Raw genomic sequence first — 27,972 nt, 5'->3', positions numbered from 1 at the left:
GGTTATTTTTGACTGCCCATTTTTTTGGCTCCTTAAGCTAGTAAGCCATAACCTTTCTGTTTGAGTCCTAGCTGACTCACGCCATGTGCGCCATAGAGTATCCTTGGGCAAATACATATCCTGGACAGTTTCTCTCTTTCATATTTGACTCTTCACCAGTTTCTGACTGCTTTTTGTTGATCTTCAGTACTTCCAAATAGTTGTTTAAAAAATATACATATTATACATATTATCTGTGAGAGTGTTAGTTCAATACAGATTACTCTGTCTTATCATAGAGTGGTACTTAGTATATCTGTCTATCTATCTTGAAATGTTTTTACAAATTCAAATAATTCACTTGTAGATTCTTCTAGATTTTTAATGTGTACAATTATATTATTGGTGTATAATGACAGTATTATTTCTTCTTTTTCATTCAATATCCCTTTTATTTCTGTGTTTTGTCTTACTGCATGGACTGGCATCTCTAGTAAAGGGTTGAGAAGAAATGGAGGTAGATTTGTTTCATGTGTCAGAAGGAAAGCTTTCAAAGTTTATTGAATATTATATTTTCTATAATTTTTAAATAGATAAAATTTATCATGCTAGGTAAATTACTTCTATTTCTTAGCACTAGAAGTATTTTTTAAAAATATATGAATGGATATTAAATTATATCAAGCTTTTTTCTTCATGTATTGAAATGTTCAAATGTTGTTTTCTCTAATATCTTAGTATGTAAGATTACAACAATTTATTTACTAACGTAATCAACTTTACATTCTTGCAATAAATCCAATTTGGTAAGATTTATTATCCTTTTTTATATATTGCTGCATTCATTTTGCTAGTATTTTGTTTACGATTTTTGCATCTATGTTTATGAGTGGGATTAGAATATCTATCCTTGTTGAGTTTGATATAAAGGTAATGCTAACCTCATGTTGTCTGTTAGGTAGAGGTTGTGTATGATTGAAATTATTTTCTCCCTCTTGAATAATTGGTAGAACCTCTTGGAGAAGCCATTTGTCTTTGATAGGCTGCGATGGTGAAAGAGTTTTTTTTCTTGAAACGGAGTCTTGCTCTGTCACCCAGGCTGGAGTGCAGTGGTGCAATCTTGGCTCACTGCAACCTCCGCCTCCCAGGTTTGAGCAATTCTCCTGCCTCAGCCTCCAGAGTAGCTGGGACTCCAGGTGCACACCACCACGCCAGGCTAATTTTTGTATTTTTAGTAAAGACGGGGTTTCACCATATTGGTCAGGCTGATCTTGAACTCCTGACCTCTTGATCTGCCCACCTCAGGCTTCCGAAGTCCTGGGATTACAGATGTGAGGTGAGGCACTGTTTTTTTTTTTTTTTTTTTGAAAGGCTCTTGCATTGTCACCCGGGCTGGAGTGCAGTGGCACAACCACAGCTCACTGTAGCCTCGACTTCCAGGGCTCAGATGATCCTCCCATTTTAGTCTCCCAGGTAGCTGGGACCACAGGCACACCACCACGCCTGCCTAATTTTTTGTATTTATTATAGAGACAGGGTTTCACCATATTTTCAGGGTGGTCTGAAACTCCTGGGCTCAAGCAATCTGTCCTCCTCAGCCTCGCAAAGTGCTGGGATTGCAGGTGTGATCCACCGTGCCTAGACTGGAGAAAGATTTTTGAGTCCTCTTTCGTGAAAAATTTAATGATCAAAACATACATTTTCTACCTTTCTTGTTTCAGTTTTTGTAAGACATATTTGTACTGGTTATTAGGCTCTTGCCTTTTATTTTCAAGTACATCCTTGTAGCTTCTGCTCTGTGCTGCCAGTGCTGGGAGTCTGCAAACAATCTTTCTCCTTTATTGTCTGGCCTCCTGGTGGGTTCTGCAGTTGGGGACTCTAGAAGGAGATGGAAGACAGGAGGGAAGAAGGTACTTCTGCTTTCTTATTTGCTTCTGTACTTATCCATAATGCTCATTGAGAATATTTCACCCTGGATGCAGCAATTAGTTCTATCCTTCAGCTTCTTTCAGCATTCCTAAACCAGCTCATTATGACCCATCAGAGGTACCACCAGCAGCTAGGCAATGACCCCTCTTCTGAGGCATAAGTCTCAGCTCTCTGGGCTTCCTCTTATGAACTCTTAAGGAACTAGCAGCAATCAAGTATGCCCTGTCCTCCGTAGTATAAGCCCTGCATCTTGAGATTTATACTTTAAGCTTTTAGTTCTGGTAACCTTAAACTCTTCTCTTTTTCCTTCAGCTTTTGCTGTAGTAGCTGTTTTTCTATAGTTATTATCTCTATGATAGTTCACTGTTTTTTTTCTTCATTAGCCCTTCAATACTTGTATAACCAATGGTCTGTATTTTTTTCTACTGATATACCTACCATGGTCTATTTTCCTGATTGGACATTGACTGGTACAATACTTGAGAATGGAAGTAGTCACAGGAAAAAGACCCTCAAAACTGTATGGACTTAGTTTAGTTTTCTTTGGACCCTTGAACACAATGCTGAACTCCTTGCCAATGGCAAATGAGCTACTGCTAATTCATAGCATGCAGTGGTAACATGACAAATTGTCACCTATGATTGCTTGTGGTAACTACTTATTGTACCAATGCTTTGGGAACCAAATAGCTACGGTAGTTGATGAATATGGCAATAATAGTAATGTCTACAAGAATCCTGGTATGCAATGGCTGCTTCTAAATACACTGGAGAACTTGAAACAGATGACAATGAGATCAAGTCTTTAAACTTTCATCTCAATGTTCAGACGACTAAGGTGCTTCTACAGAGACCCTAGAAGAATCTCTTTCAATGTACGGGAACAATCTTGATAAAGATTAAATCTGGAAGGAGGGGGCAGAGCAAGATGGTAGAACAGAAGCCTCAACCAATTGTCTGTCCCAGAAGGACACCAATTTAACAGCTATCTACACAAAAAAAGCAACTTCATAAAAACCAAAAATCAGGTAAGCATTCACAGTACATGGTTTTAACTTCATTCACTGAAAGAGGCACTAAAGAGGTCAGAAAAACAGGCTTGAATCACAGATGCCACCCCTCCCCCATCCCCAGGCAGCAGTGGTGTGGTGTAGAGAGCATTTCTATGTGCCGGGGAGCGGGAGAGTGCAGCAATTATGAGGCATTGAACCCAGTGCTGCACTACTGTAGCAGAAAGCAAAACTGGTTCAAACTAGAACTCTTCCAGATCTTGTCTAAGACCATCATGGCAGTATCTCTATGAGGCTGAAAGAATCACAGTATTACTGGGCTTAGGGTGTCCCCTAAAGCAGACACAGCTCAGATGACAACACCCAAGTCCTTCCAAGTATCTAAACTTTCCCAAGAAGGATGGGTACAAACAAACCCAGGCTGCAAAGACTACAATAAATATCTAAATCTTCAATGCCCAGACAAAGATGGACAGCTACAGGTATCAAGACCATCCAGGAAAACGTGAGCTCACAAAATGAACTAAATAAGGCACCAGGGATCAATCCTAGAAAAAAAGAGATAACAGACTTTTCAGACAGAAAAAAATTAAAACAGCTGCTTTGAGGAAACTCAAAGAAATTTGAGATAACACAGAGAAGGAATTTAGAATTCTATCAGATACATTTAACAAAGAGATTAAAATAATTGAAATGAATCAAGCATAAATTCTCAAGCCGAAAAATGCAATTAGAACACCAAAGAATGCATCAGAGTTTTTTAAATAGCAGAATTGATCAAGCATAAGGAAGAATTAGTGAGCTTGAAGACAAGTTATTTGAAAATACACAGTCAGAGGAGACAAAAGAACAAATCATAAAAAACAATGAAGCATGCCTACAGGATATAGAAAATAGTCTCAAAAGGACAAATCTAAGAGTTATTGGCCTTAAAGAAGAGGTAGAGAAAGATATGGGGGTAGAAAATTTATTCAAAGAGATAATAACAGAGAACTTCCCAAACCTAGAGGAAGTTATCAATATCCAGGTACAAGAAGGTTATAGAACACCAAGCAGATTTAACCCAAAGGAGACCACCTCAAAGCATGTAATAATTAAACTCCTAAAGGTCAAGGATAAATAAAATGTCCTAAAATCAGCAAGAGAAGAGAAACGAATAACATATAATGATGATCCAATATGTCTGGCAGCAGAGTTTTCAGTGGAAACCATACAGGCCAAGAGAAAGTGGTATGACATATTTAAAGTGCTGAAGGCAAAAATATTTCACCCTAGAACAGTATATTCAATGGAAATATCCTTCAAATATGAAGGAGAAATACTTTCCCAGACAAACAAAAGCTGAGGGATTTCATCAACACCAGAACTGTGCTACAAGAAATGCTAAGGGGAGTACTTCAATTGGAAAGAAAAGGACATTAATGAACAGTAAGAAATCATCTGAAGGTATAAAACTCACTGGTAATAGTAAGTACATAGAAAAACACAATATTATAACATTGTAACTGTGATGTGTAAACTGTTCTCATCTTAAATAGAAAGGCTAAATGATGAACCAATTAAAGATATTAACTACAATGACTTTTCAAGACATAGACAGTACAATAAGACATAAATAGAAGCAATAACAAGTTAAAAAAGTGGGGGGTGAGACAAAGTTAAGGCATAGCATCTTTATTAGTTTGTTTGTTTGTTTATGCAAACAGTGTTGTTATCAGCCTAAAATAATGGGCTATAAGATAGTATTTACAAGCCTCAAGTTACCCTCAAACAAAAAAACATACAACAGATAAAAATAAAAAACACAAGAAACTAAATCATATCAGCAGAGAAAATTACCTTCACTAAAAGGAAGCCAGGAATGACAGAAATAAGGAAGAGAAGACCACAAAATAGCCAGAAAACAAATAACAAGATGGCAGGACTGAGTCCTTACTTATCAATAATAACATTGAATGTAAATAGTCTAAATACTCCAATCAAAAGATATAGAGTGGCTGAATGGACAAAAACAAAAAACAAAAAACAAAAACCCAAAAAACAAAACAAAAAAACCCACCACCACCAATAAAAAACCCAAGACCCATTGATCTGTTGCCTGCAAGAAACACACTTCACCTATAAAGACACACAGACTGAAAATAAAGGGATGGAAAAAAATATTCCATGCCAATGGCAATGAAAAAGAGCATGAGTTGCTATACTTACTTCTATCAGACAAAATAGCTTTCAAGATGGAAACTATAAGAAGAGACAAAGAAGGTAACTATATAATGATAAAGGGGTCAATTCAGTAAGAGGATGTAATAATTTAAAATATATATGCACCCAACACTGGAGCACCTAGACATATAAAGTAAATATTATTAGAGCTAAAGAGAGAGACAGACTCTAATACAATAATAGCTGGAGACTTTCACACTCCACTTTCAGCATTGGACAGATCTTCTAGACAGAAAATCTACAAAGAAATATGAGATTTAATCTGCATTATATACAAAGTAGACCTAATAGATATTATACAGAACATTTCATTCAACAGCTGCAGAATAAACATTCTTTTTCTCAGCACATAGAGATCATGCTCAAGGATAGACCATATGTTAGGTCACAAAACAAGTCTTAAAACATTTTAAAAATTTGCAATAATATCCAGCATCTTCTCTGACCACGATGGAATAAAACTAGAAATCAATAATAAGAATAATTTTGGAAACTATACAAACACATGGAAATTAAACAATATACTCCTGAATGACCAGTGGGTCAAAGAAGAAATTAAGAAGGAAATTGAAAAATTTCTTGGAACAAATAATAATAGAAAATGCAACATACCAAAACCTATGTGATACAGTAAAAGCAGTACTAAGAGAAAAGCTTATAGCTATAAGTGCCTACATCAAAAAAAATAAAAAACCTCAAATAAATAACCTAATAATGCACCTTAAAGACTAAAAGCAAGAGCAAGCCAAACTCAAAATTAGTGGAAGAAAAGAAATAATAGAGACTAGAGAATAAATAAATTGAAAAGAAGAAAACAATGCAAAAGATTAATGAAACAAAAAGTTGGTTTTTCGAAAAGTTAAACAAGATTGACAAACCTTTAGGCAGACTAAGAAAAAAGAGAAAAGATCCAGATAAATAAAATCAGAGATGAAAAAGGAGACATTACACCTGATACTGCAGAAATTCAAAGGCTCATTAGTGGCTGCCATGAACAACTGTATGCCAATAAATTGGAAAATCTAGAAGAAATGGACAAATTCCTGGACACATACAACTTACCAAGATTGACCATAAAGAAATCCAAAACGTGCACAGACCAATAACAAGTAAAAAGATGAAAGCCATGATAAAAGTCTCCCTGGAGAGAAAAGCCCAGGACTTGATGGTAGATACACTGCTGCATTCTACCAAACATTTAAAGAACTAATACCAATCCTACCCAAATTATTCTGAAAAATAGAGGAAGTGGGAATATTCCAAACTTATTCTATGAGGCCAGCATTACCTTGAAACCAAAAAGAGACAAAGACACATTTAAAAAAAGAAAACTATAGGTCAATATCCTTGATGAATATTGGTGCAAAAATTCTCGACAAAATACTATTAATAGCAAACCAAATTCAATGATACATTTAAAAGATCATTCATCATGACCAAGTGGGATTTATCCCTGGGATGCAAGGATGGTTTAACATACACAAATTAATCAATGTGATACATCATATCAATAGAATGAAGGACAAAATCCATATGATCACTTAAATTGATGCTGAAAAAGCATGATAAAATTCAGCATCCTAATATAAGATGATGTTCATTGACTGGAAGAATCAATATAATTATAATATCCATCTACCCAAAGTAATCTACAGATTCAATGCAATTCCTATCAAAATACTAAAGACATTCTTCACAGAAATAGAAAAAACAATCCCAAAATTGACATGGAACCACAAAAGACCCAGAATAGCCAAAGCCATTCTAAGCAAAAAGAACAAAACTGGAGGAATCACATTACCTGACTTCAAATTATACTACAGAGCTATAATAACCAAAACAGCATAGTACTGTTAGACACATAGACCAATGATATAGAATAGAGAATGCAGAAACAAATTCACACACCTATAGTAAACTCATTTTCAGCAAAGGTGCTAAGAACATACACTGGGGAAAAGACAGTCTCTTTAACAAATGGTTCTGGGAAAATTGGATATCCATGTGTAGAAGAATGAAAGCAGACCCCTACCTCTCGCCATTTAAAAAAATCAAACTAAAATGGATTAAAGACTTGAATCTAAGACCTCAAACTATGAAACTACTACAAAAAAAACTTTAAGGAAATTCTCCAGGACACTGGTCTGGGCAAAAATTTCTCGAGTAATACCCCATAAGCACTGGCAATCAAAGCAAATATGAACAAATGGGATCATATCAAGTTAAAAAGCTTCTTCACAGCAAAGAAAACAATCAACAAAATTAGTTGTTGGAGAAAATATTTGCAAACTACCCATCCAACAAGAGATTAATAACAAGAATACATAAGGAGCTCAAGCAACTCTATAGGAAAAATCTAATAATCCAATTAAAAAAATGGACAAAAGATTTGCATAGACATTTCTCAAAAGAAGACATACAAATGGCAGACAGGCATATGAACAGGTGCTCAACATCATTGATCATCAGAGAAATGCAAACCAAACTACAATGAGATTGAGATGTCTCACTCCAGTTAAAATGGCTTATATTCAAAAGACAGGCAATAGCAAATACTAGTAAGAATGTGGAGAAAAGGGAACCCTTGTACACTGTTGGTGGGAATATAAATTAGTACAACCACTATGGAGAACAGTTTGGAGGTTCCTCAGAAAACTAAAAATAAGCTACCATTTGATCCAGCAATCCCACTGCTGGGTAGTACCCAAGAGAAAGGAAATCAGTATATTGAAGAGATATCTGCACCCTCATGTTTTTTGCAGCATTGTTCACAATAACCAAGATTTGGAAGCAACCTAAGTGTCTATCAACAGAGAAATGGATAAAGAAAATATGGTACTTATACACAATGGAGGACTATTTGGCCATAAAAAAGAATAAGATCCTGTCATTTGCAACAACATGGATGGAACTGGAGGTCATTATGCTAAGTGAAATAAGTCAGGCATACAAAGAAAAATATCGCATGTTCTCACTTATTTGTGGGATCTAAAAATCAGAAACAATTGAACTCATGGAAATAGCAGAAGGATTGTTACCAAATGCTGGGAAGGGTAGTGGGGGTGGGGATGGGGAAGAGGTGGGGTTGCTTAATGGGTACCAAAAAAGTTACAAAGAATGAATAAGATCTAGTATATGATAGCACAACAGGGTGACTATAATCAATAATAATTTAATTGTACATTTAAAAAATAACTAAAAGAGTATAATTAGATTGTTTGTAACATAAGGGATAAATGCTTGAGGGGATGGATACCCCATTTCCATAATGTGATTATTATGCATTGCATATCTGTATCAAAACATCTCATGTACCCCATAAATATATACACCTACCATGTACCCACAGAAATTAAAAGTAAAAAATTAAAAAAGAAAATTAAACCTGGAATTCAGTGTGTGGGTTGCAGAATGACAACAATTTAAATTCACAGACATACCACATCTTCACCTTGACTTGTTTGAAACTGAGCATCTTGAACTCCAAAGCCTAAAGCCTCCCTTGCTAGAGGAAGCAACCCCTCTAACTGATGATATTATGATATTAGTTTTCTCTTTCTGTTATTTCCCAGTAACAACCCCACCTAGACCAGCTCCCTTGTGAAGGGATGCCTATTTTTCTCAAGCTTCTAAGTCCCCATCCTTGGTTGTCTCTGTCTGACCTGAATAAAAAAAAGTTTATACTTCAAAATAAATGCAAGATGTTGCTAATTTTTTTCAGTACAAATATGGGGGAAACGTGTGGGATTGGATTCTAAGGCTGTTAGAACAAAAAGGACAGAATATAAAACTGGATTGAGCCAAGCTGATTTTATATGTGTACTTACCAGAGATGGTGGATCTAATGCTAGAAGTGGTTCTGAAAATTAGTTTGCCTGGTTGCTTGATTGAAACTTGGACTCCACATGGCCTGAATTCATGAATTCAGTGAGGTTGAGGCACAATGTTCAAGATTAACTCCAAGACTTGACAAGATAGGAATATTGGGATGGAATTATCATATGCAAATTGTATACCCTTCTTCCCCATCCCCTTTATATACACCAAAAAGCCCTAGAACATAGTACCTTTTTTAAGAGGAAAAATTGGGAAATAGTATGTATTAGTGATGGGAGTATATTAGTCCATTTCCTGCTGTTGATAAAGATATACCCAAGATTGGGAAGAAAAAGAGGTTTAATTGGACTTACAGTTCCACATGGCTGGGGAGACCTCAGAATCATGGCAGAAGGTGAAAGGCACTTCTTTCATGGTGGCAGCAAGAGAAAATGAGAAAGAAGCAAAAGTGGAATCCCCTGATAAACCCATCAGATATCGTGAAACTTATTCACTACTATGAGAACAGTATGGGGGAAACCACCTCCATGATTCAAATTATCTTTCACTGGGTCCTTCCCACAACATGTGGGAATTATGGGAGTACAATTCAAGATGAGATTTGGGTGGGGACATAGAGTCAAACCATGTTAGGGAGCATCAACATCTTTGAAAAGCATTATGGTGACTTCCTTTGTACACACAGAGAGACGCAGCTACTAGTTGTGCTTCCTGATTTCCATGGGGATCCTGGAAAGTTAGTGGCTAAGAGTAGTTCTTTACCACTAGAGGCAAGGTCAACACAATTACTGTAATGGACAGCAAGGAAGAAGAGGTAAGTGGAATGACCTGCTGGGATCTTTGGCAGTGCCTAATTGATTACTGTATTATTGGGAATGAAATAAATATGCAGCCTATTACAATATTACTTCTTTTGCATGACAGAAATACTCTAGGTCTGATGTCTAGGATCTTAATTTGAGTGGACACAGTGGAGTGTCTTAGCTTCCTAATTAATGTCCAGGCATAAGCCAGATCATAGACCTGAGGCCCTTGATTGAAGGGGAGGCTGGCTCCCTTGAGTAAGAACGTGCAACACTGCTATAACTATATTCTGTAAATATTCCTTCGAGTCTTCCCCAAAGTTGCCTTTAGCTATTTACTAGGGTTACTGTGCACTGGGGGAAAGGAAATCTTCAGACTTTTCAGGGATTTACTAGATACTGAATTGGCTCTGAATTGACATTAGGGACCCCAAATGCTACTGTGACCCACTAATCAAAGTGGGAACTTCTGGTGATCAGGTGATAAATGAAGTGTTGGAACAAATTCATCTCCTACAGGACTCAGTGGATCCATAGACCCTCCCTGTAGTCCTTCCCCATCCAGCTCCAGAATATATAAATGGCATAGATATATCCAGTGACTTGGAATGAGGGCTATTGTTTGCCAACCATCTCTGTGGTTTGGTCTTGTCTCCTCAAATAAACTGGAAGCTCCAGAGAATGGTAAACCTCACTTAGCTGACTCCATTTTTCCCTAACCTTTGGGGGAGTGCTTTAGTATTAGTTATTCAATACAAATTTATTGGTAGTAATTTTGTGAACCATGCCAATTTCTTGAAGCATTTAGGAGAAGTAACTAACTTGTGGGGTGAGTGGAAGACAGACTGCTCTTTTAGATAGAGGGAAAGGTATCTGGCTATGGGAAAGAAACATAAATCTCTGATATTTGCCTTCTAGGGTCTGCCAAATTCAGAAAAGCGTTTATTGAAATCTACTCTTAATGCAAGACATGCAATTTATATTTATAGTCTAAAATCTTCAATCTTCATGACATTACTGTGAAGTAGATTTTAAGATCTCTCTTTTATAGCTGAGGAAACTGACGTTTGGGAACGTTAAGTGGCTGGTTTGGGGTCACTCAGTACTTGGCAGAACAGGAGTCCAAGCCCGAAATGTTAGATGTTTCCCATTTTGCCCTGGTTAGTTTTTTTTTTTGGCAGGAAATTTAAAAATTTTTCTTATACTTTAAATATTACCTTTTCTTAGAAAAAGTAAATTATTTTTGTCTCTTTGGCAATTATAATTTCAGCTACTACTGAGAACAGGAAGGATGAGAAGGAGGAAGAATAAATTTTTTTCTTTTTAACCCCTAGGGCAAGTGTTGACCTGCGATGTCTCTCTTTATACTGTGTAGCCCATAAAGGTACATATGGGACATTTAAACATGTCTTTACTAAAAAACAGAAGATCGTAAAAAGGAGATCAATCTAAAAGTTTATAAGAAATTTGATAATTTGCTTTGTAAGAAATGGCTTGCACTCCATGGCTTTAGGCCTTGCTCTTGGGGAATTTCTCCCTCATGCTTCTTGGCCCTTTTTGTGGAATGCCTGAAGCTAGCTCTCATCTCCTAGAAAGCTCATCCATGCATTTACCACCTCTGCCACAATCCCTGTTGTAGCCCACCTCCAAGATATGAAGCTGAGAGACAAGCAGAGACCTTTGGATACAAAGGGCTTATGGAAAGGAAGCCTGCATCCCACCTGCTCCCTCCTGACTAGGGTCTTCCCAGTTCCTCAATCTTCCCCAACCATGGGGGTGTGATCTCGAAGACTCGGTTAGGAAAAGCTATCTTAATGTAACTCGAGAACTCACACAACTCACATAAATCTACACACACCCTGCAAAAGATGTTTTTGTGCCTTGCCACACTCTTTGTCATGGTATTCTATAAGGGGAGCTCTGTCATTTCTTAGGGTCAAGGACACTGAAATGGCTTAATTTGGACCAGATTCTCCTAGAGCATTAACTATTTCCTAAGAGTATCTTAAGACAGCTTGGAGCGGTATTGACTTTTTAGGTGTAATGGACCTAAACGACCCATTTAACTTTGAACCTTTAATATAATAGATTCAAGATCAGAATCCTCTTTGACTTTATAGACCATCAGTGGAGCTGAATGGTGACCTACCTTAAATGTTCCTGTTAGGTCCAATGAACAGGTGAGGGAATGAGAGAAAGAAAAATATGGAAAAGTGACAGTAAGAAAGACAAAGGAAAAAAAGAGAAATAATAGGAATAAATGAGTAGCACTTAATAAAGTGCAAGGATGTATTCTTATTCTGGATCTTATTCTGATAAATCAGTAAAGACCTAATTATAAGAAGTGAGAAAAGCACAATAATATGCAAAAACACAGAGGTTTGAGGGGTAGGGCACTGGGTGATGGTGAAGGATGATTTCCTGGAGTTGTCATATTAGTTGCATCTTAAAAAAAAGTATAAAGAAGGGCAGAAGAGCCTCCAGGCTGGTGGTGGGCATGGGCAAAGGTGAAAAGCCATGAGAGCAGGAGGGGGTGAGATCCTCATTCTGTGTGGGATCCACATCTGGATGACCTCCCATGTCCATGCCTGTTCTCTTTGTTATACTCTTTTGGTAGAGATCATTTGTGGCCCACCCAAACATCTGTTCTTGCCTTCCTTTGTAATAACAGGTCCTCATGTTTTACAAGGCACTTTTGTTGTCTCTCTTGCAGCCATGTGTGGTCTTGTTACTAAGTGTTAGCCAGTGAGAGGTAAGTGGAAATATTGTGTGGGGCTTCTGGGCAGGCTTCTTGAAGGGAGGTGGGTCAGCTTGGAGGCACTCTTCTTGTCTTGCTGCCTCTTCTCTTCCTGGCCTAGAATACAGATGTGATGGCTTGAGCTCCACAGCTGTCTTGGATCCTGAGATGGCCTGGAGAGTGGACATCATTAGCTAGGATATGGAAGTAGAATTATTGAGTCTTCTGTTTTGCTGAACATGCTATACAAGTTGAGGCAGAGCTGAATTTCGTGGGAGGACAGGGTTTTAAAAGCTGTGTAAAGGAAGGGTAGACAGAGGAACAGAAAGCTCTTATAAAACAGTGTGGGCCCGTCCACTGTTACTCCAGAATGTCCCTTGGAGGTCTCATGAGGAGGTTAATACAATAATACATTCAAGAAAAACAGATCTTTTCTTGGGGATATGCACTAGGTGGGGGAGATTGTGAGTGAAGAAAGAAAAAATAAGAAAATTAAGCCAAAAAGCAAGTTTCTGTAAAACACGGAGCTGGGATAATTTGAACCCAGAACCCATATCTAACCCCAAAACCCCTTGCTTTTTCCATAGAACATACAAGAGGAGGCCCATGTTGATTCAGAGGATGAATGAGAGGTGAGATATCACAGTCACATTAGTGTCTCGAACTTCCTAAGGGCATCACAGGGATCTGGCTTACTTCCAGAAACAGACTTAACTCTGAGAATGGCTAGCTAATTTGATGGGACTATTTTTTTAACCTTTTGTTTCAGTAGAAGAGAGTGTTATACTGCTTATGTTCAAACCTTCACTTTCCAACCAATTTCTTTGGCTTTGATAGATTTATCCCATGAGTAACTTGGTGAAATCATAGACATTCTAAGAGTTTGCCTCCAAGCTTCCAAAAGGAGTGAGGAAGTGTTTTGTTGTCAGTTATTCCATTAAAAACTGGTGTGTGTGTGTGTGTGTTATGTAGTGTGTGATATCTATATGAGAAAGAAAGAAGCAAAGGAATTTAAAGTTCTGCTATAAAAGTGGGGAGTTCTGGCCCTGGAGGCCTTTATCCTTCCTGAGAGGCAGGATTTGTTAGCTACCATTTTAGCCTGCTAATGCCAGGTTCTGCCAGTCCTGTGACTTTGCCTTGGTAGAGAGCCTTGCCAGCTCTTCATTTTTGTTATCTTCTTGGTTTAAGGAAAAGCTCAACAAATCAGGCCTGGAGGGCCGTCTAGGAGCTACTGGAAACTTGCTTTGCATTTGTTCTTTATTGTTTCTTTTATTTCAGCCTGTGCTCAAGTATTGTCTTATTAAGGAAGGCTTATTTGTCTACCCTGACCTCCTAACACTCCTAATGTCCTTTCTTCCATATTCTTCTCCATAGCATGTATCAACTTTTGATATAAAACACATTTGGGCTGGGTGCGGTGGTTCACTCCTATAATCCCAGCACTTTGGGAGGCTGAGGTGGGTGAATCACCTGAGGAGTTCAAGACCAGCCTGGCCAACATGGTGAAACCTTGTCTCTACTAAAAACACAAAAATTAGCCAGGCGAAGTGGTGCACACCTGTAATCCCAGCTACCTGGGAGTCTGAGGCAGGAGAATCACTTGAACCCAGGAGGCGGAGATTGCAGTGAGCCAAGATCACACCACTGCACTCCAGCATGGGTGACAGAATGAGACTCTGTCTCAAAAAAAAAAAAACCAAAAAAATAGAAAACAAACAAGCAAATAAAAAACACACATTTGACCTGTTTACTTCATTGTCAAGTATCTCCTTACTAGAATGTAAACCCTATAAGGGCAGATTTTGTCTGTTTTGTTTACTGATATGACCCTAGTACCTAGGACAATGCCTGACACATAGTAGACACTCAATAAATTTTCATCGAATGCCATGGTTTCCAGCTATCTATTGGCAAAAGGTATTGTTTAATGGATAATCTGGTCATTAGGACCACATGGACATCTAGAGTTAGCAGAGAATAATTCCCACTTTCTCCTTGGAGTGGGCCATGGTAAGAATTTTTAGATCTTCCTCCACCTCAAGTTCACACTCACCTTCTTCTTTTCAGTTCCCACCAATTTGGTGTTTTAGGACAACAGCCTCTTCCCACCATGTTCTGTGTAAACTCTTTCTATGTTATCAGGAGCCTCTTTATGAGGTTCCAGCAGAGAAGATAACCTTATAACCTCTATATAGCAACATCCCTGAGCATGTCGGGGAGTGAGAAGAACCCTGGAGTGTCAAGAGACTTAGATCCCAGTTTTGACCATGCAGAGATCTAATTGTGGGCCTTGAGTACCTAATTCAACCCAGTACATCTTTGCCATTCACAAATTTATTGTTTGTGAACAACTTTGAAGGTGCATGGTGTGTGATATAATTTGTCATTTTTGTTGAGGCTTGAATTTGAGCTGCCTTGAGTCTTGGATACACATTTCTTAATGAGAACTGTATGGCTAAAAAGTAGCAGGAAGCAATTTGAACAGGCTTAAGAAATGGCTTAAGTAGGAAAGGTATGCATGGCTGGATACAACTGAAAGACTCAAGATCCAGGTTCTCAAGGTCTGTTAATGAGAATTTAGAATTCTTCTCATGCCATCCTTTCTTCAGTGGCTGTTGTTTGAGTGCATTTTATGACTTCGGTGCTAGGAAAGAGGTAGTGAGAGATAAAGAGAAGCTTAGACACTGCCTTTGTTCTCAAAGAGCTTATTGCCTAGTTGAGGGACAAGACTCTCCCTCTCCCCCTGCAATGAACACCTCCTCCAGTGAACACCAGTAGCTGACTGAGTTCACTAGTCCTGGGACTATTTCACATCATTGTGACATAACTGTGCCCTGAGGTAAACTCAGGTAGTCTTCATCCAAGAGAGAATAATGTTTTATTATTTTTTTCCTTCTAGGAACTATAGCGTTTGCTTTGTAGATTGAAGGAAAGATGAGGGGAACAGAATGAATAAAATATTGGAAATGTGAGTGAATCTGGTAGTGGAAATGCAGAGCAAAGAAATGACAACAAAGAATTCCCATGAGAGGGAATGTTCTGTGCTGGGCAGAAGTGAGCAAGAAGGTGTGCCCAGCTGGTGGAGGACTTAAATTGCCAGGCCCATGAGTTTAAGCTTCATAGGGCAACATGGAAATACTGCAGATATTGTTTAAAATGTAAAACCTTCTAGTGAAATATTTCATTTATGCAAACATACATATATATGTGAATATAACAAATGAAGAATAAAACAAACACCTGTGTGCTCTCTATTCCACTTAAGAATTAGAACATAGCCAATACTTTTGAATTCCTTTTGTGTTCCTCTTCCATATGTTTCCAATTCTGTGTTTCCTATTCCCCAAGAGTGATCATTGTTCTGAATTATATATTCATTATTCTCTTGCCTTTAGGTTTAATTTTACTATGTATATACTAAGTTTCATATAATTTTAAATTATATATAGATTAATTTCTTCCTGTTGTTTCAGGCTATTAACCTTACTTTTTCTATGTTTTATTTCTCCGCCACCCTTCTTGCCTTCTTTGGGGTTGTTTGTTGTTCATTTTGGTTTCCTTTTACTGGCTTGGAAATTATTCACTCCATTAATATTTATTTAAAGATAAACATTTACATTTTATTATGTGCACTTTAACAGTCTAAAATCTATTAGAATCTTAACTACAATTTTCTCAAGTACAAGGATCTTGGAATGCTTTATTTTGTATTACCCCTGTCCTCTTCAGCATTGTCCAGTTATTTTGTTTTAAAATACACAAAATAGATATTATTACTTTTGTTTTACTTTGTCAATATTTGTTAGATTTGTATACATGTTACATTTTCATTGTTCATAGTTTCTTCCTGCATTGCTAATCTTCTGCTAAATTCCTTAGTGAGGATATCTTTGTGGTAAACTATTTTATTTTATTTTTTAATCTGATAGGAACTTGAAATGTGGGTTTTCTGGATAGACTGTCCATAGTTGACAGTTCCTTTTTCCTGGCACATCGTAGATATTATTCCATTATATTCTGACTTCCATTGTCACAAGTGAGAAGTCTGTTGTTAGTCTAGTTATTGATTTCTTTTTTGCATTTTTATTTTTGGCAATCAGTCTTTTGTGTGTTTAAAAATATTCTTATTTTCTTTGCTCTTCTGCAGTTTAACTACAAAGTTTATAGGAGTGCATTATATTTTATTTATACTACTTCATATAATTTTGTTTTTTATATGAATGCATATCTTTCACAAATTTTGGCAATTTCTTATTATTTTTCTTTCAATTATTCCTTTGAATATTGCCTCTATCCCATTGACTATTTCTGTAACTTCAGTTACATATGTGCTATATAAATTCTAATTCTATCCTTCATGTTTCTTGACTTCACCTTCCTTCCTATTTTCTACCCCCTCCTCTCTATGCTGAGTTCTATATAACTTGTCAGCTCTTTTCCACTTCATAAATTTATTTCTCAATGGTGTCTAAAATGATGTTAAAACCTTTCTTGAAGTTTTTAATTTCAATGATTGTATCTTTCATTTTAATTAAAAAATTTGTCTTGCCATGTTTTGATACTCTCTGGCACTTTGTCCATTTTCCCAATTTTATCTCTTTTCTTTAAATAATTTAATAATTAGTTGTATTCACTCTCTGATAACCCAGTATTCAAATCTGTTGGTGGGCATAACTTTGATCTTTGCCATTTCTACTGATGCTGGCTTCTGTTAGCTTGTTACTTTTTTCACTTCTTAAATTTTTACTTGGGCTCTTGTTTGATTGAACGTAATTTGTGGGATCTGATTTGAGGACTTTGTGGTTTTTATTTTTCCCCTTAAAAAATCTGCTTCTGTTTGAAATTGGGAGCACTATTAAACCAGGTAGACTTCAATTTCTCAGATTGGCATTTTTTTCCATATGAGCAGTACAAATTCAAACTTCTGATGTCCCAGTGAGAACAGATCTAGGTTACACATTATAAGGGAAGACTATTTATATATATTTCCATCTAGAGCTACCACAGAGACAGTTTTCCTTTGCTAGAAGGCTGCTTTTTTTCAGTTAGCCCTTTCAATGAGGATATATATTTATGCGGAGGACTTAGTAAGTTTAGTTCCTTGACCTTGCATGAGGCCAAAGCCTGGCCTCCCATTTCCCATTCACATCAAAGCCACATTGTATCAGGGTTCTCTAGAGGGACAGGACTAATAGGATAGATGTGTATATGAAAGGGAGTTTATTAAGGAGTATTGACTCACACGATCACAAGGTGAAGTCCCACAATAGGTCGTCTGCAGGCTGAGGAGCAAGGAAGTCAGTCCAAGTCCCAAAACCTCGAAAGTAGGGAAGCTGACAGTGCAGCCTTCAGTCTGTGGCCAAAGGCCTGAAAGCCCCTGGCAAACCACTGGTGTAGGTCCAAGAGTCCAAAAGCTGAAGAGCTTGAAGTCTGATGTTTGAGGTCAGGAGGCATCCAGCACAAAAGAAAGACAGAGGCCAGAAGACTTAGCCAGTCTAGTCTTTCCACGTTCTTCTGCCTGCTTTTATTCTGGCCATGGTGGCAGCTGAGTAGATTGTGCCCACCCAGATTGAGGGTGGGTCTGCCTTTCCCAGTCTACTGACTCAAATGTTAATCTCCTTTGGCAACATCCTCACAGACCTACCCAGGAACAATACTTTGCAGCCTTCAATCCAATCAGGTTGACACTCGGCACTAACCATCACACACATTAATCTCCAAAACTCTGGGTTTTTGACATTTGCTTCCAGGGTATCACTTACCACTCCTGTTTCCACTCACTCTTTGCTTGTGTATGTAAGTATGTGGCCCTTGTTGACTTTCCTTACTTCCTTGAAAACACAGAAATGTATTTAAAAGTGTTTGCATGATTTATCCAGTACCTAAATGTTAGGATCAGAAGATATTTTCAGAATGCTCAGCCTGCTATATTATCAGAAGTAAAAGTGCCATTGTAGACTCTTTGAAGGAAGTTAACAGGGAAAAAAGGAGTCCTGAATTAAGAGTCAGAAGAGGTCTTAGTTTAGTTACCCTGAATTCAGACTCAGAGACAAATCTCCTAGATACCCTGAGAATGATGGTTTCGTTGTTAGGAAGCATGTGAGGGGGTGAGAAAATGTGACAGCTGTGGAAGAGAAGCTGAGGAGGATACCTGAACCAACAGGTTTCTGCTTTGGGATTGATTCTCAACCCTGCTGGGACTCTCTGTGGATCCATCTAGAATGTGCCTCAGAATTGTCTTCCTTGGGCCGGGCACGGTGGCTCATACCTGTAATCCCAGGACTTTGGGAGGCCAAGGTGGGTGGATCATGAGGTCAGGAGCTTGAGACCAGCCTGGCCAATATGATGAAACACTGTCCCTACTAAAAATACAAAAAAATTAGCCGGGCATGGTGGCACGTGCCTGTAGACCCAGCTACTCAGGAGGCTGAGGCAGGAGAATTACTTGAACCCGGGAGGCAGAGGTTGCAGTGAGCTGAGATCGCGCCACTGACTCCAGCCTGGGTGACAGAGCGAGACTCCATCTCAAAAATAAATAAATAAATAAATAAATAAATAAACTAAAAAAAATTTAAAAAGTAGAATTGTCTTCCTAAGGGATGGGGAAGTGTAATATGTATACATCAGTTCACATTTCCTACTGGTGAGGGATGTTCTTGATGGTGTTGAATTCCTGGTTATTTCTGGCCTGCCTTGCACAGGAGCTGAGCAGTTTCCAAGGTATTAGAGAAAGCCCTCAGGCAGTGAAACAGAGAGTGTGGGTATAGCTCAGAAGCTCTCAGTGCTCCTGGGAGCTGCACCCTGAGGCTACAGGTAAACTCAGCAGTGGACTAAGGACTATGAGGCAAGGTGTCAACAATGTCTGCTGTAGACTGGAGTTTGTGTCTTATTTCTTGACCTAATTACACTTATGCAAACACTACAAAATGATAGGGACTATGGTGTTTAAGATTAATATGAGAATAATATAGAACAGAAGTTGGCATATAATAACCCCTGGGCTAAATCCAGCCTGCCACCTGTTTTTGTAAATAAAGCTTTATTATACTACAGCCACGCACATTCATTTATGTCTCTGGCTGCTATTATACTGCAACACCTGACCGAGTAGTTGCAACAGAGCCTGTAATATTTGTAGTACAGACACAAAGCCTAAAATATTTACTATCTTTCCCTTTCCAGAAGTTTGCCATCCCCTGATTTAGTAGAACTGATCGGGAAGGACCCTATTATCGAGGAGACAAATTTGGGAACTGCTGTAGATTTCCAAATCTGAGATGAGAGGAGCCGTGACTGAGGTCTATACCTAGTACCTAGTCTACATCTACAGCTATTTTTTTGAGTTTAGAGAATTATGGTAAAGGAATTTAAAAAAACAATGGCAGGGTCTTGAGTCTGAGCGACCCTGAGAATGGTGGTTTCATTGTTAGACACTAAGAAGTCAGGACATTTTTGTTTGGGGCCGGGAGATGATGAGGGATTGGGATGGTGAGAAATTTGGTTTAAGAAGAAGTCTTGAGTCTTGAGAGCAATTGAAACGTCTAGTTTCTAAGTAAAAATACAGTGCTGGGATGAAAGTTGGAACTGCAAGGCAGTGATGGGACTTCCCATGGATCTATGTGCCTGGACAGCTTGCTGGAGCACTGAGGGGCTGCAGTCCCACCTGTCTCAAGGATTCTACCATCAAGGCCTGCACCATCCACCATGTGTTTTCGGGGGCTGCCAGATGTAGGGACTCTCCAGAAAGGAAATTCTCTAGTTTAAGCTACTTCACAGTACATAGGCTACCAGATCTGTGACTATGAAATATGAAGTAAACTTGCTTTCCCCCAAGCTTCTGTGGCTGGAGAACTTGTCTAACTACACGAGACAGACAAGCAGCCGCAAAGACAAAGGGAGGCATCCCAGATGCTCCCTTTGGGGCCTGGGGCTCCTCTGTTCTCCCACAACCTGTCTCGCTGTTTGTCAGGAGATGCTGTAGTGATGGATGACCCCAAGGCGAGGCACCCAGCAAAATGCCCAAAGGATGTAGAAAATCTGGTCTGTTCTCAGATTCATGGCCCACATTTCACAGTCATCACAGTGCAAGTGAATCAGTTTTTTTTTTGTCCACGGCCTCTAGAACTAGGGTAGCTTGTTAGTATGACTAATAAGGCCACAGATGCCAGGACATGGAAGGGACTTTAGAGTAATGCCAAAATTTCAAACTAGTTTTAAAGTGTAATTAAACAAAACAGAGGGGTTTTGTTGTTGTTCATTTATTGAATAGGCAGATATTTTATAAAGAGAGGACACTAGACAGGGGAAGAAGACCTGGAAGAGCTGGGTGTGAGTCCTGGTCTCATAACTTACAAACTGTGATCTTAACAAAGTGACTTTATTTAATTTTTTCCGGCTTTATTGTGGTATAATTGACAAATAAAAATTTTATGTATTTATAATGTATAACATGTTGCTTTAATGTAAGTGTACATAGTAAAATGATTACTGCAATCAAGCTAATTTACATACCTAACACCTCATGTAGTTATTTTTGTTTTTTGATGTGAATATTTAAGATCTACTCTCTTAGGGATTTTCAAGTATACACTATATTATTATTAACTATAGTCACAATGCTGTACAATAGATCTCCAGAACTTACCCTATCTAACTGAAATTCTGTACCTTTTGACCAACATCTCCCCTTCCCCTGCCCCCAGTCCCTGGCAGCCACCATTCAGGAAAGTGACTTAGTTTGTTCCTAGTTCCTTCTCTATTATTAGGTGGGAGTGGTTGTCATGAGAAGTAAGATAACACCTATGAAAGGGCTTTGTAAATAGAAAGTACTGTTTAAACTGTAAGCATAAAAAATGTATGGTGAGGCAGTAGGATAATTAAGTGCGCCTAGAGTTCATGCTTATTGAGCACCTAGCTGTGAAGGCAATGGTCAAGTGCTTTCCATTCATTGGTTCGTCTAACCGTTAACTGCACCCATTGGATGCAGATGTTTTTCTATTTTCTATGTTTTACAGATGAGGAAACTGAAGCTTGGAGGTTTTCAGTAACTTGCTTACAGAGGTGAAACAATGAGACTAAAGGACATATGGCCCCTGAAGCCACACTGGCTGCACAGACAAAGCCCCAAGTTGGCGGTACCTTGGTTTGGTTGCCAAGATCTAGGACCTCAGCCTCAGAAATTTGATTGCTAGTATACACAAGTGTGAACTGGACTTATGAGTTAATTTAATCTAAATCTAACTTATAAGAGACTGATAGATGCAATCTAGGATGTCAATTTATGAATTTATAATGAGAAACATCTAATAAGTAGATTGAACCTCCTTTTAACAGATCAGCAGGGTCTTTTCTTGTAGGGAAGCCAAATTATAATCAATAGCTTGCTTGATGGAGATGAAATCAGAGCACACGAATTGGTAATAGTAGTAACAATTACAGCTATGATAGTAGTAATGACCAACACACTGACCAACTACTAAGTGCCAGGCATAATGATTTATGTGAACTATTGCATCTAATTTCTACAGTAATCCTAGCAGGTACTGTTTTGTTCCCATGTTACGGGTGAGGAAACGGAGATATAGCAAGGTTAAGCAACTTACCCAAGGCGGTGAATGTAATAAGCAGTAGAGCTGGAATTTGACCCCAGGCACTCTGCTCCACTGAGGGTTGATTTGCTTCCCATAGGCAGCACCACATAGGAAGATTTCGATTCCAAATTCAGAGGGAAAAGTCAGGGTGCAGCATATAGCTAGCAGCAGAAAGTAGTTTGTGATAAGGCCCCTATGGGTGGCCAAGCAAGAAGAGGGCAGGAAAGGCTCACGGAATCAGAGAAGTCTGCATTAGTGGATGAGGAAGGCTTGAGATAGGCCTGGATGCATGAGTAGGATTTGGGAAGGTGAGACTCACTGGAAGCAGAGCAAGTGCGATGAGCCAGAAGGTGGGTGATGGAATGTGCACAGCACACCTAGAAGACGCGATCTGTACTGAGAGGCAGAAGGAGGAAGTACTTGGAGAACCTCCAGTGCTCAGGGTGGACCTCAAATGCTGAGTTGCGGTTTTATCCCAGTCTTTGGTAAACATAGATGGTGTCATGCTTGTCTACAGGTCTGAATTGAGTGCCAGCTCTGCACCAGGCATCCTAGGAGATGTTGAGGACAGAAATGTGGCTCACGTTCAGTCTCTGCCTTCCAGATGCTTGCAGCTTGGTCCAGGAGGCCAGCAGGACCAGAGAGAAGACCACAGCGACACATGGGGATGGCTGTCCCACAGGCAGAAATGAGCAGCCGGGAGGAAGCCCAGGCAGCCAGCCACCCAGCTCCCTCCACATCGTGGCCCTAGAACGGAGTCTTGAAGAATAAGAAGCCACAGCTTGTCAGGGAATCAGGCTGGAAAAATGTTATGAGACTGAGTAAGACCAGAGGTAGGTAGGCTTGGGTACCCACAAAACAGGGAAGGTGTGGCAGCAGGGAGCAGGGTGCTGGGCACAGAGAGAAATGAAGGGTGGGGAGGGAAGGAGGTTTCTTAACCACACACCCCAAGCATTTCTGGGCTTCTGCAGAGCCAGATGGGGAGGGGCACACAGACAGATGAGTCATTGTCCTTGCTCTCCAGCCTGTCAATCTAGGAGCAAATAAGACTAGACTGCAGGTTTTTTTGTGGGAGTAGAACCACGTCTTGCTCATTTTAACTTTAATTCTCTGAGAACAGTGAGCGGGTGACTGGCACATATTAAGTGCTCGTCTGTTGTTCATTGAATGAATCAATAAACATAAATAAATTTCATGTAATGCATAAATGAATAAATGCTAAACAAAGGTGAATATAAAGGAAGCAGTGGTCAGCGCTGACTGTGAGGATCCAGGGCTCAGGATCAGCAGGGTGATAGCCCCACTCATGTTGGGGTGTTCCCAGCCACTCACCCCTCAACTCTCATCACTTCATCCCCTCCTCTTTCTGCCCAAGTGGCCTGGGACTGAGAATCAGCCTGGGCAGCACCAGAAGAGCTTTGCAGACGAGATTAAAAGCAAATCAAAGAAGGAAAATTGTGGCTCAGTTTATGTCTTCCTAATTAAAACCCCGCCAGTCTCCCTTCTTTTTCTTCCCAGCTAATGTTACACTAACGAGCTGAGTTTAGTGGCATTTATGTAGATAAAAGTCCCAATGATTGATCTCAATGGCTTGTTAAAATTAGTTTCAGTCCACCATATTGATTTAATTCCATTGCTTGAAAGTGCTAATTAATAATGATAATAAAAGTGTCTTGGCCCATTATTATCAGTGGGCAGGCGGGGGAGGGGGGGCGTGTGGAAGCTGGGGGATCGTTGTTTTTAGTGTCACTTACTCTGGCTAAGGGTGGCCTTTGAAGGCTGACTGCGGGGACAGGAGGCGGGGGGACTGCGGGGCATATGGGGATGGTTCTGTCCCTTTCTCTGGATCTGGTAAGTCCTCATGGAGGTGCTAGGGGCTGCTGGAGGGGAGGGAGTGGTGGCTGCACAGGTGAGCAGTGTACCTGGCTGCCCTCCAAGCCCTCTTGACTCCCTGCAGAGTTTGAGGTGTGGGAGGGGGCACTGCTTGCCTGAGAGATTCTTGAAGGAGGTCAAATCTTTAGACCCTGTTCTAGAGGTGAGGAGGCTAGAGGGAAGGTGTCAGGAGTTCACTGCTTGGGTTCCTGATCAGCAGCAGAAGACGCAGGCCTGGACATCTGAGCTTAAAGGCTCAGCCACTCAGACCCAGTGCTGTAGGAAGCCCAGGAGTGGAGGGAGGGATTTGGGGCAAGAAAGCTCATGGATGAAGGGTCCAATGATGGACAGGGGAGAGGCACTTCCGAGGGCAAAGAAAGGAAGGGCCCTCAGACATTGAGTTGAGTTGATAAGGGAGAATTAGAGGTTTCTTCAACATTAATTAATTAGTTTAGCTTTCAAGCAGTCTTCTCACCTGAGATAAAGGCTTATGCTCCTGGAAAAGATTCTTGCAGCCACTCCAGGGAATGGAATGTGGGGGTGAGGGGAGGGTGGTGCTGGGAGTGAGAGCAGCACCTGGTGGAGTGAGCAGATATTCCAAGACTGTGGAAAGGGCCCACATAAGAAGCACCTGCGTGGTGGGGGTGGTTAGTGGGAAGAAAGTGGGAGCCGGGGAAAATGTCTCCTGCAATTTGGCTAACTCTCTCCATCCCAAATTCTCTAGGATTCTTCTATAGACCACCATCCAGATCTCTTCGTCTCTCTGTCTCTCTCACTCGCTTGCACAAAACGAAAAGTGCATCATCATATGGAGGCCTAGTTTCATTAACCACATGTGGTTTGCATTTTAGAGCAGTTGGAGGGCTGTATTCCTTCCTCTATTGAATGTAATAGATTATACTCTGAGAACCAGGAAGGCAGTAGAAAGAGCGTTCAGGTCCTTGGGGATGGGTGGAGAGCCTGGGACAACAGAGAAACACCCAGGTTGAGGACATGCACTGTTTTGAGGTGAAGGGCCAGGGATACACAGACACAGCCTGCAGAGGCCACACAAGAACTCAGCAGCTGGGCCACCATGAGGGGACCTTAATTCTGAGGCAGGTTCCGATTAGCCTGTCGTCGCTTATGTGTCCCTGTGAGCTGCTCATTCCCTGGGCTGGTCTACCAGGCAGGAATAAGCCTTTAAAGGCAGAATTCTGTAGGTTGTGCAGCTGCTAGATTAGGCAATTCTGGGCATCTCAGTCTAGAATGAAATGTCCAAAGGGATTCGTCTGATATATCTATTCCTAGAGGTGTTCTTTATTGAAGAATATTATAAAATCCCCCCCAGCTTCCCCCCAAAAAGATGAATTGAAAACTTATAGAATGCAAACTATATATGATTTGCTTTACAGTTAACTCAAGCATAATTATATGCAGTAATTATACAGTGGAGTTCCGATATTAATTACACTCCATCCTCATTAAGGAATTAACCAAACCATGTGTGGCTGGGGTGAGGAGGAGGAGGGGGTCATTTTTATTATGATTTACTCTGTATTTTTCTTCTTCCACGTTAGGCTATTTTTTTCTCTGTGCTTTGTGCACAGGATGAGCAAGATGTATTTTTTCCTCCAGTGGTTCTGGTTGGGATATGGCGTTCCTTGCATCAAGGTCCTCCTTACTAACCACAGAAAATTATCTGTGTTTAAGTAAATCCTCTAGGTTTCTTGAAGTAAACAATCTTTACCTGGGATACGTAGGAAAGGGCTTCCTCTAATCTGATCAGTCAAATCCCGACTGCCAGCTTTACTTTCCATGGGATTTGGATTTGAATGATCCTGGCTTTCTGTTTCTTGATGCCTACTCCCTGACAGCTGCCCCATATTCACCACAGTGCCCTACACTCTGATAGGGTGAAGGTGTTTGAGCTAGACTCATTTTGGGGGAAGAGTAACTTCCAGATTGAGCCCAAGCTTAGAATAGAATGCCTTGGGTAAAAAATATGGGGATCCATATGCTTCCCTGTAACACTGTGAGGCATCCTCCCTGATTTAACTCGAGAATATTGCTGTTAACTATTTCATACACGTGTTTGGATGGGGCAACAACGCTCTTAGCTGGAATGGAATCTTAAGATCCTGGTAGGGATCTTAAAAGTGATCCGTTGATTTCTCTATTTTTAGGTAAAAGACATCATTTATGTTCTTTAGGGTCTGCAACTCCCAATGGAATGTTGGAGACCATAGCACATTCCATCATCCCAGTACCTTCGATGGTTCCTTTCCATTTGGCCATAGCATTTTCTCCTTTTCCTTTTCCTCTTGCATTTTTCGCTTCTGCCCTCTTCTGCAATCCCAGCTTCCTCTTCCCAGCTGAGACCGACACAAGAGAACAATAAGGCTGTCCCTACTGACTGTGAGAGGGAAAGGAGGCAGTAGGGACAGATAAGCTGCACTCAGGACAACATTGTGTGTATGCAGTGGGGAGGGTGCTTTCTCATGGAGATTCCTGACACTAGGAATGGCAGGCTCCACTTGTCCCACAGGGCATGGCTTGGGTGACAGCTGGGATTTCTCAAGGGGCCAGAGTGATTCCCAGCTGTGATTTTGGAATAGGTGGCATGGGTGATCGAGTCAGATGGATGGAACACCCAGCAAGATCTGGTAGTATAGTATCTATACTATACAGGAATAGTATCTGGTATTGGGGTTGGGGGCTGGCAGGGTAGCAGGGTCCACTCACTCACAGAGTGGAGGGGCTGTTCAATCCTCCGTGGGTGAATACATGTTCATGGGGTTTCAGGGGGTTGGCAAAGGGAGTTTCTGGAATAGCCAGAGAGAAAAAGAGTAATTTTAAAATCTCACCCGATTTTGTTCACTCATGTGAAAATGGAATTTGTCATCAGATCCATGGGGTGAATGCTGGCTGGGAAACTGGAGGCAAAGGAAAGATCAGGAGCTTGGTAAATCTCAAAGTGGAGTGGAAGGTGAGGAGCCAGCGAGCAGGGGTGTGAAGAAAGACAGTCTAAGACTCTGTAGTGAGAACAGAGAGGCTGGAGGAGGGGGAACAGCTGCACAGCAGGGCAGCCTGAGTTGATGCCACAGGGTTCAGTTGTCTGTGGGCGAGGGTATTTGGCATTTCAATCCCACTGACCTCTCTAGTGAATCGAGCTGCAGCGAAAGTGTCGTATGAGTGTGACAGTATTGTGGTTCAGGGATATGGGAGCACCCAGAGCAGGCCTCTGCTATTCTGGATCTTGCATGTGGTCAGATGTGGAGGAGAATACATATGGGGGGTGGGGGGAATCAAGTATGGAGGAGAAGAGAGAAAAATTCAATGGTCCAGAGACAAACAGGCAGTGATGTCTGAGGCTGACCCCACTAGCTTACAAGAGCCTGTTATGCACATGTCTGTCCAGTTCCAAGTTCTGTGACATTATGCTGGTAAGTTGTTAGCTAGAAACCAGCTGTGATGAGAGTATTTACACCACAGGAAGTGGCAAATGCTACAAATCAGGGTGTTTTTCCCCTTGAGTTGCTGGGTGTTAAACATTTACCAGTGCTCCACTGGGAGCAGGACCTCTTTTTGTGGCCTGTAGATTTAGTGACAAGGGACACTGGTGTGTGCTTTACTCTGTGGGATTAGCTCAGAAATTGCACAAACTGGAGCCCCTGATGAGTCTGTGTTTTAAGAACTGAGGGAGAGAGACGCAGGTGAAAGAGAGGAGAGGGTTGGCACTTGCTCTGACAGCTGCACAGGCTGCTGAAACTAGCCATCAGGGGCCCCACTCTTAGCCTTCTGCCCACTTGCCTTGCTCTGGGTGTGTCATGTGGGCTCTGTCACATGCTGCCGGGTAGTGAAAATGGATATGGACCTGCTGAAAAACAAATTGGAATCATGTTCCATGAACTTAAAACATTTGTACCCTTTGACCCAGTAATTCTCCTTCTGGGAGTCTGTCTTAAGAAATCAAACCTAAACACGTGTCTATTTTTTTTAAAACTACAATG

At 40.2% G+C, this 27,972-nt stretch overlaps 1 long non-coding RNA gene across 8 annotated transcripts in view, besides 1 other annotated feature; it reads left to right on the top strand.

Moving 5' to 3' along the window:
* LINC01605 (long intergenic non-protein coding RNA 1605) overlaps positions 1-27,972 on the top strand; it is a 196,324-nt gene that overhangs the window by 155,558 nt on the left and 12,794 nt on the right. For 7 of the 8 annotated variants that reach the window (NR_170189.1, NR_170193.1, NR_170186.1 and 4 more), the window contains one exon: positions 22,713-22,941. This is a non-coding gene — a long non-coding RNA (long intergenic non-protein coding RNA 1605). Of the gene's footprint in view, positions 1-12,494; positions 12,534-13,105; positions 13,151-22,712; positions 22,942-27,972 lie in introns of all 8 variants that reach the window. The other variant, NR_121620.2, reaches the window with a different exon arrangement.
* Positions 27,348-27,427: an enhancer, noted in NCBI's record as "active region_27225". NCBI's record gives its function as "activates an Ori minimal core promoter by ATAC-STARR-seq in GM12878 lymphoblastoid cells {active_cell/tissue: GM12878}" and the evidence as "EXISTENCE:reporter gene assay evidence [ECO:0000049][PMID:35858748]".

The sequence above is a fragment of the Homo sapiens genome, chromosome 8, assembly GCF_000001405.40.
Source record: "Homo sapiens chromosome 8, GRCh38.p14 Primary Assembly".
NCBI classification, from domain to species: Eukaryota; Metazoa; Chordata; class Mammalia; order Primates; family Hominidae; genus Homo; species Homo sapiens.
This window is presented reverse-complemented; position numbering and strand designations above follow the sequence as displayed.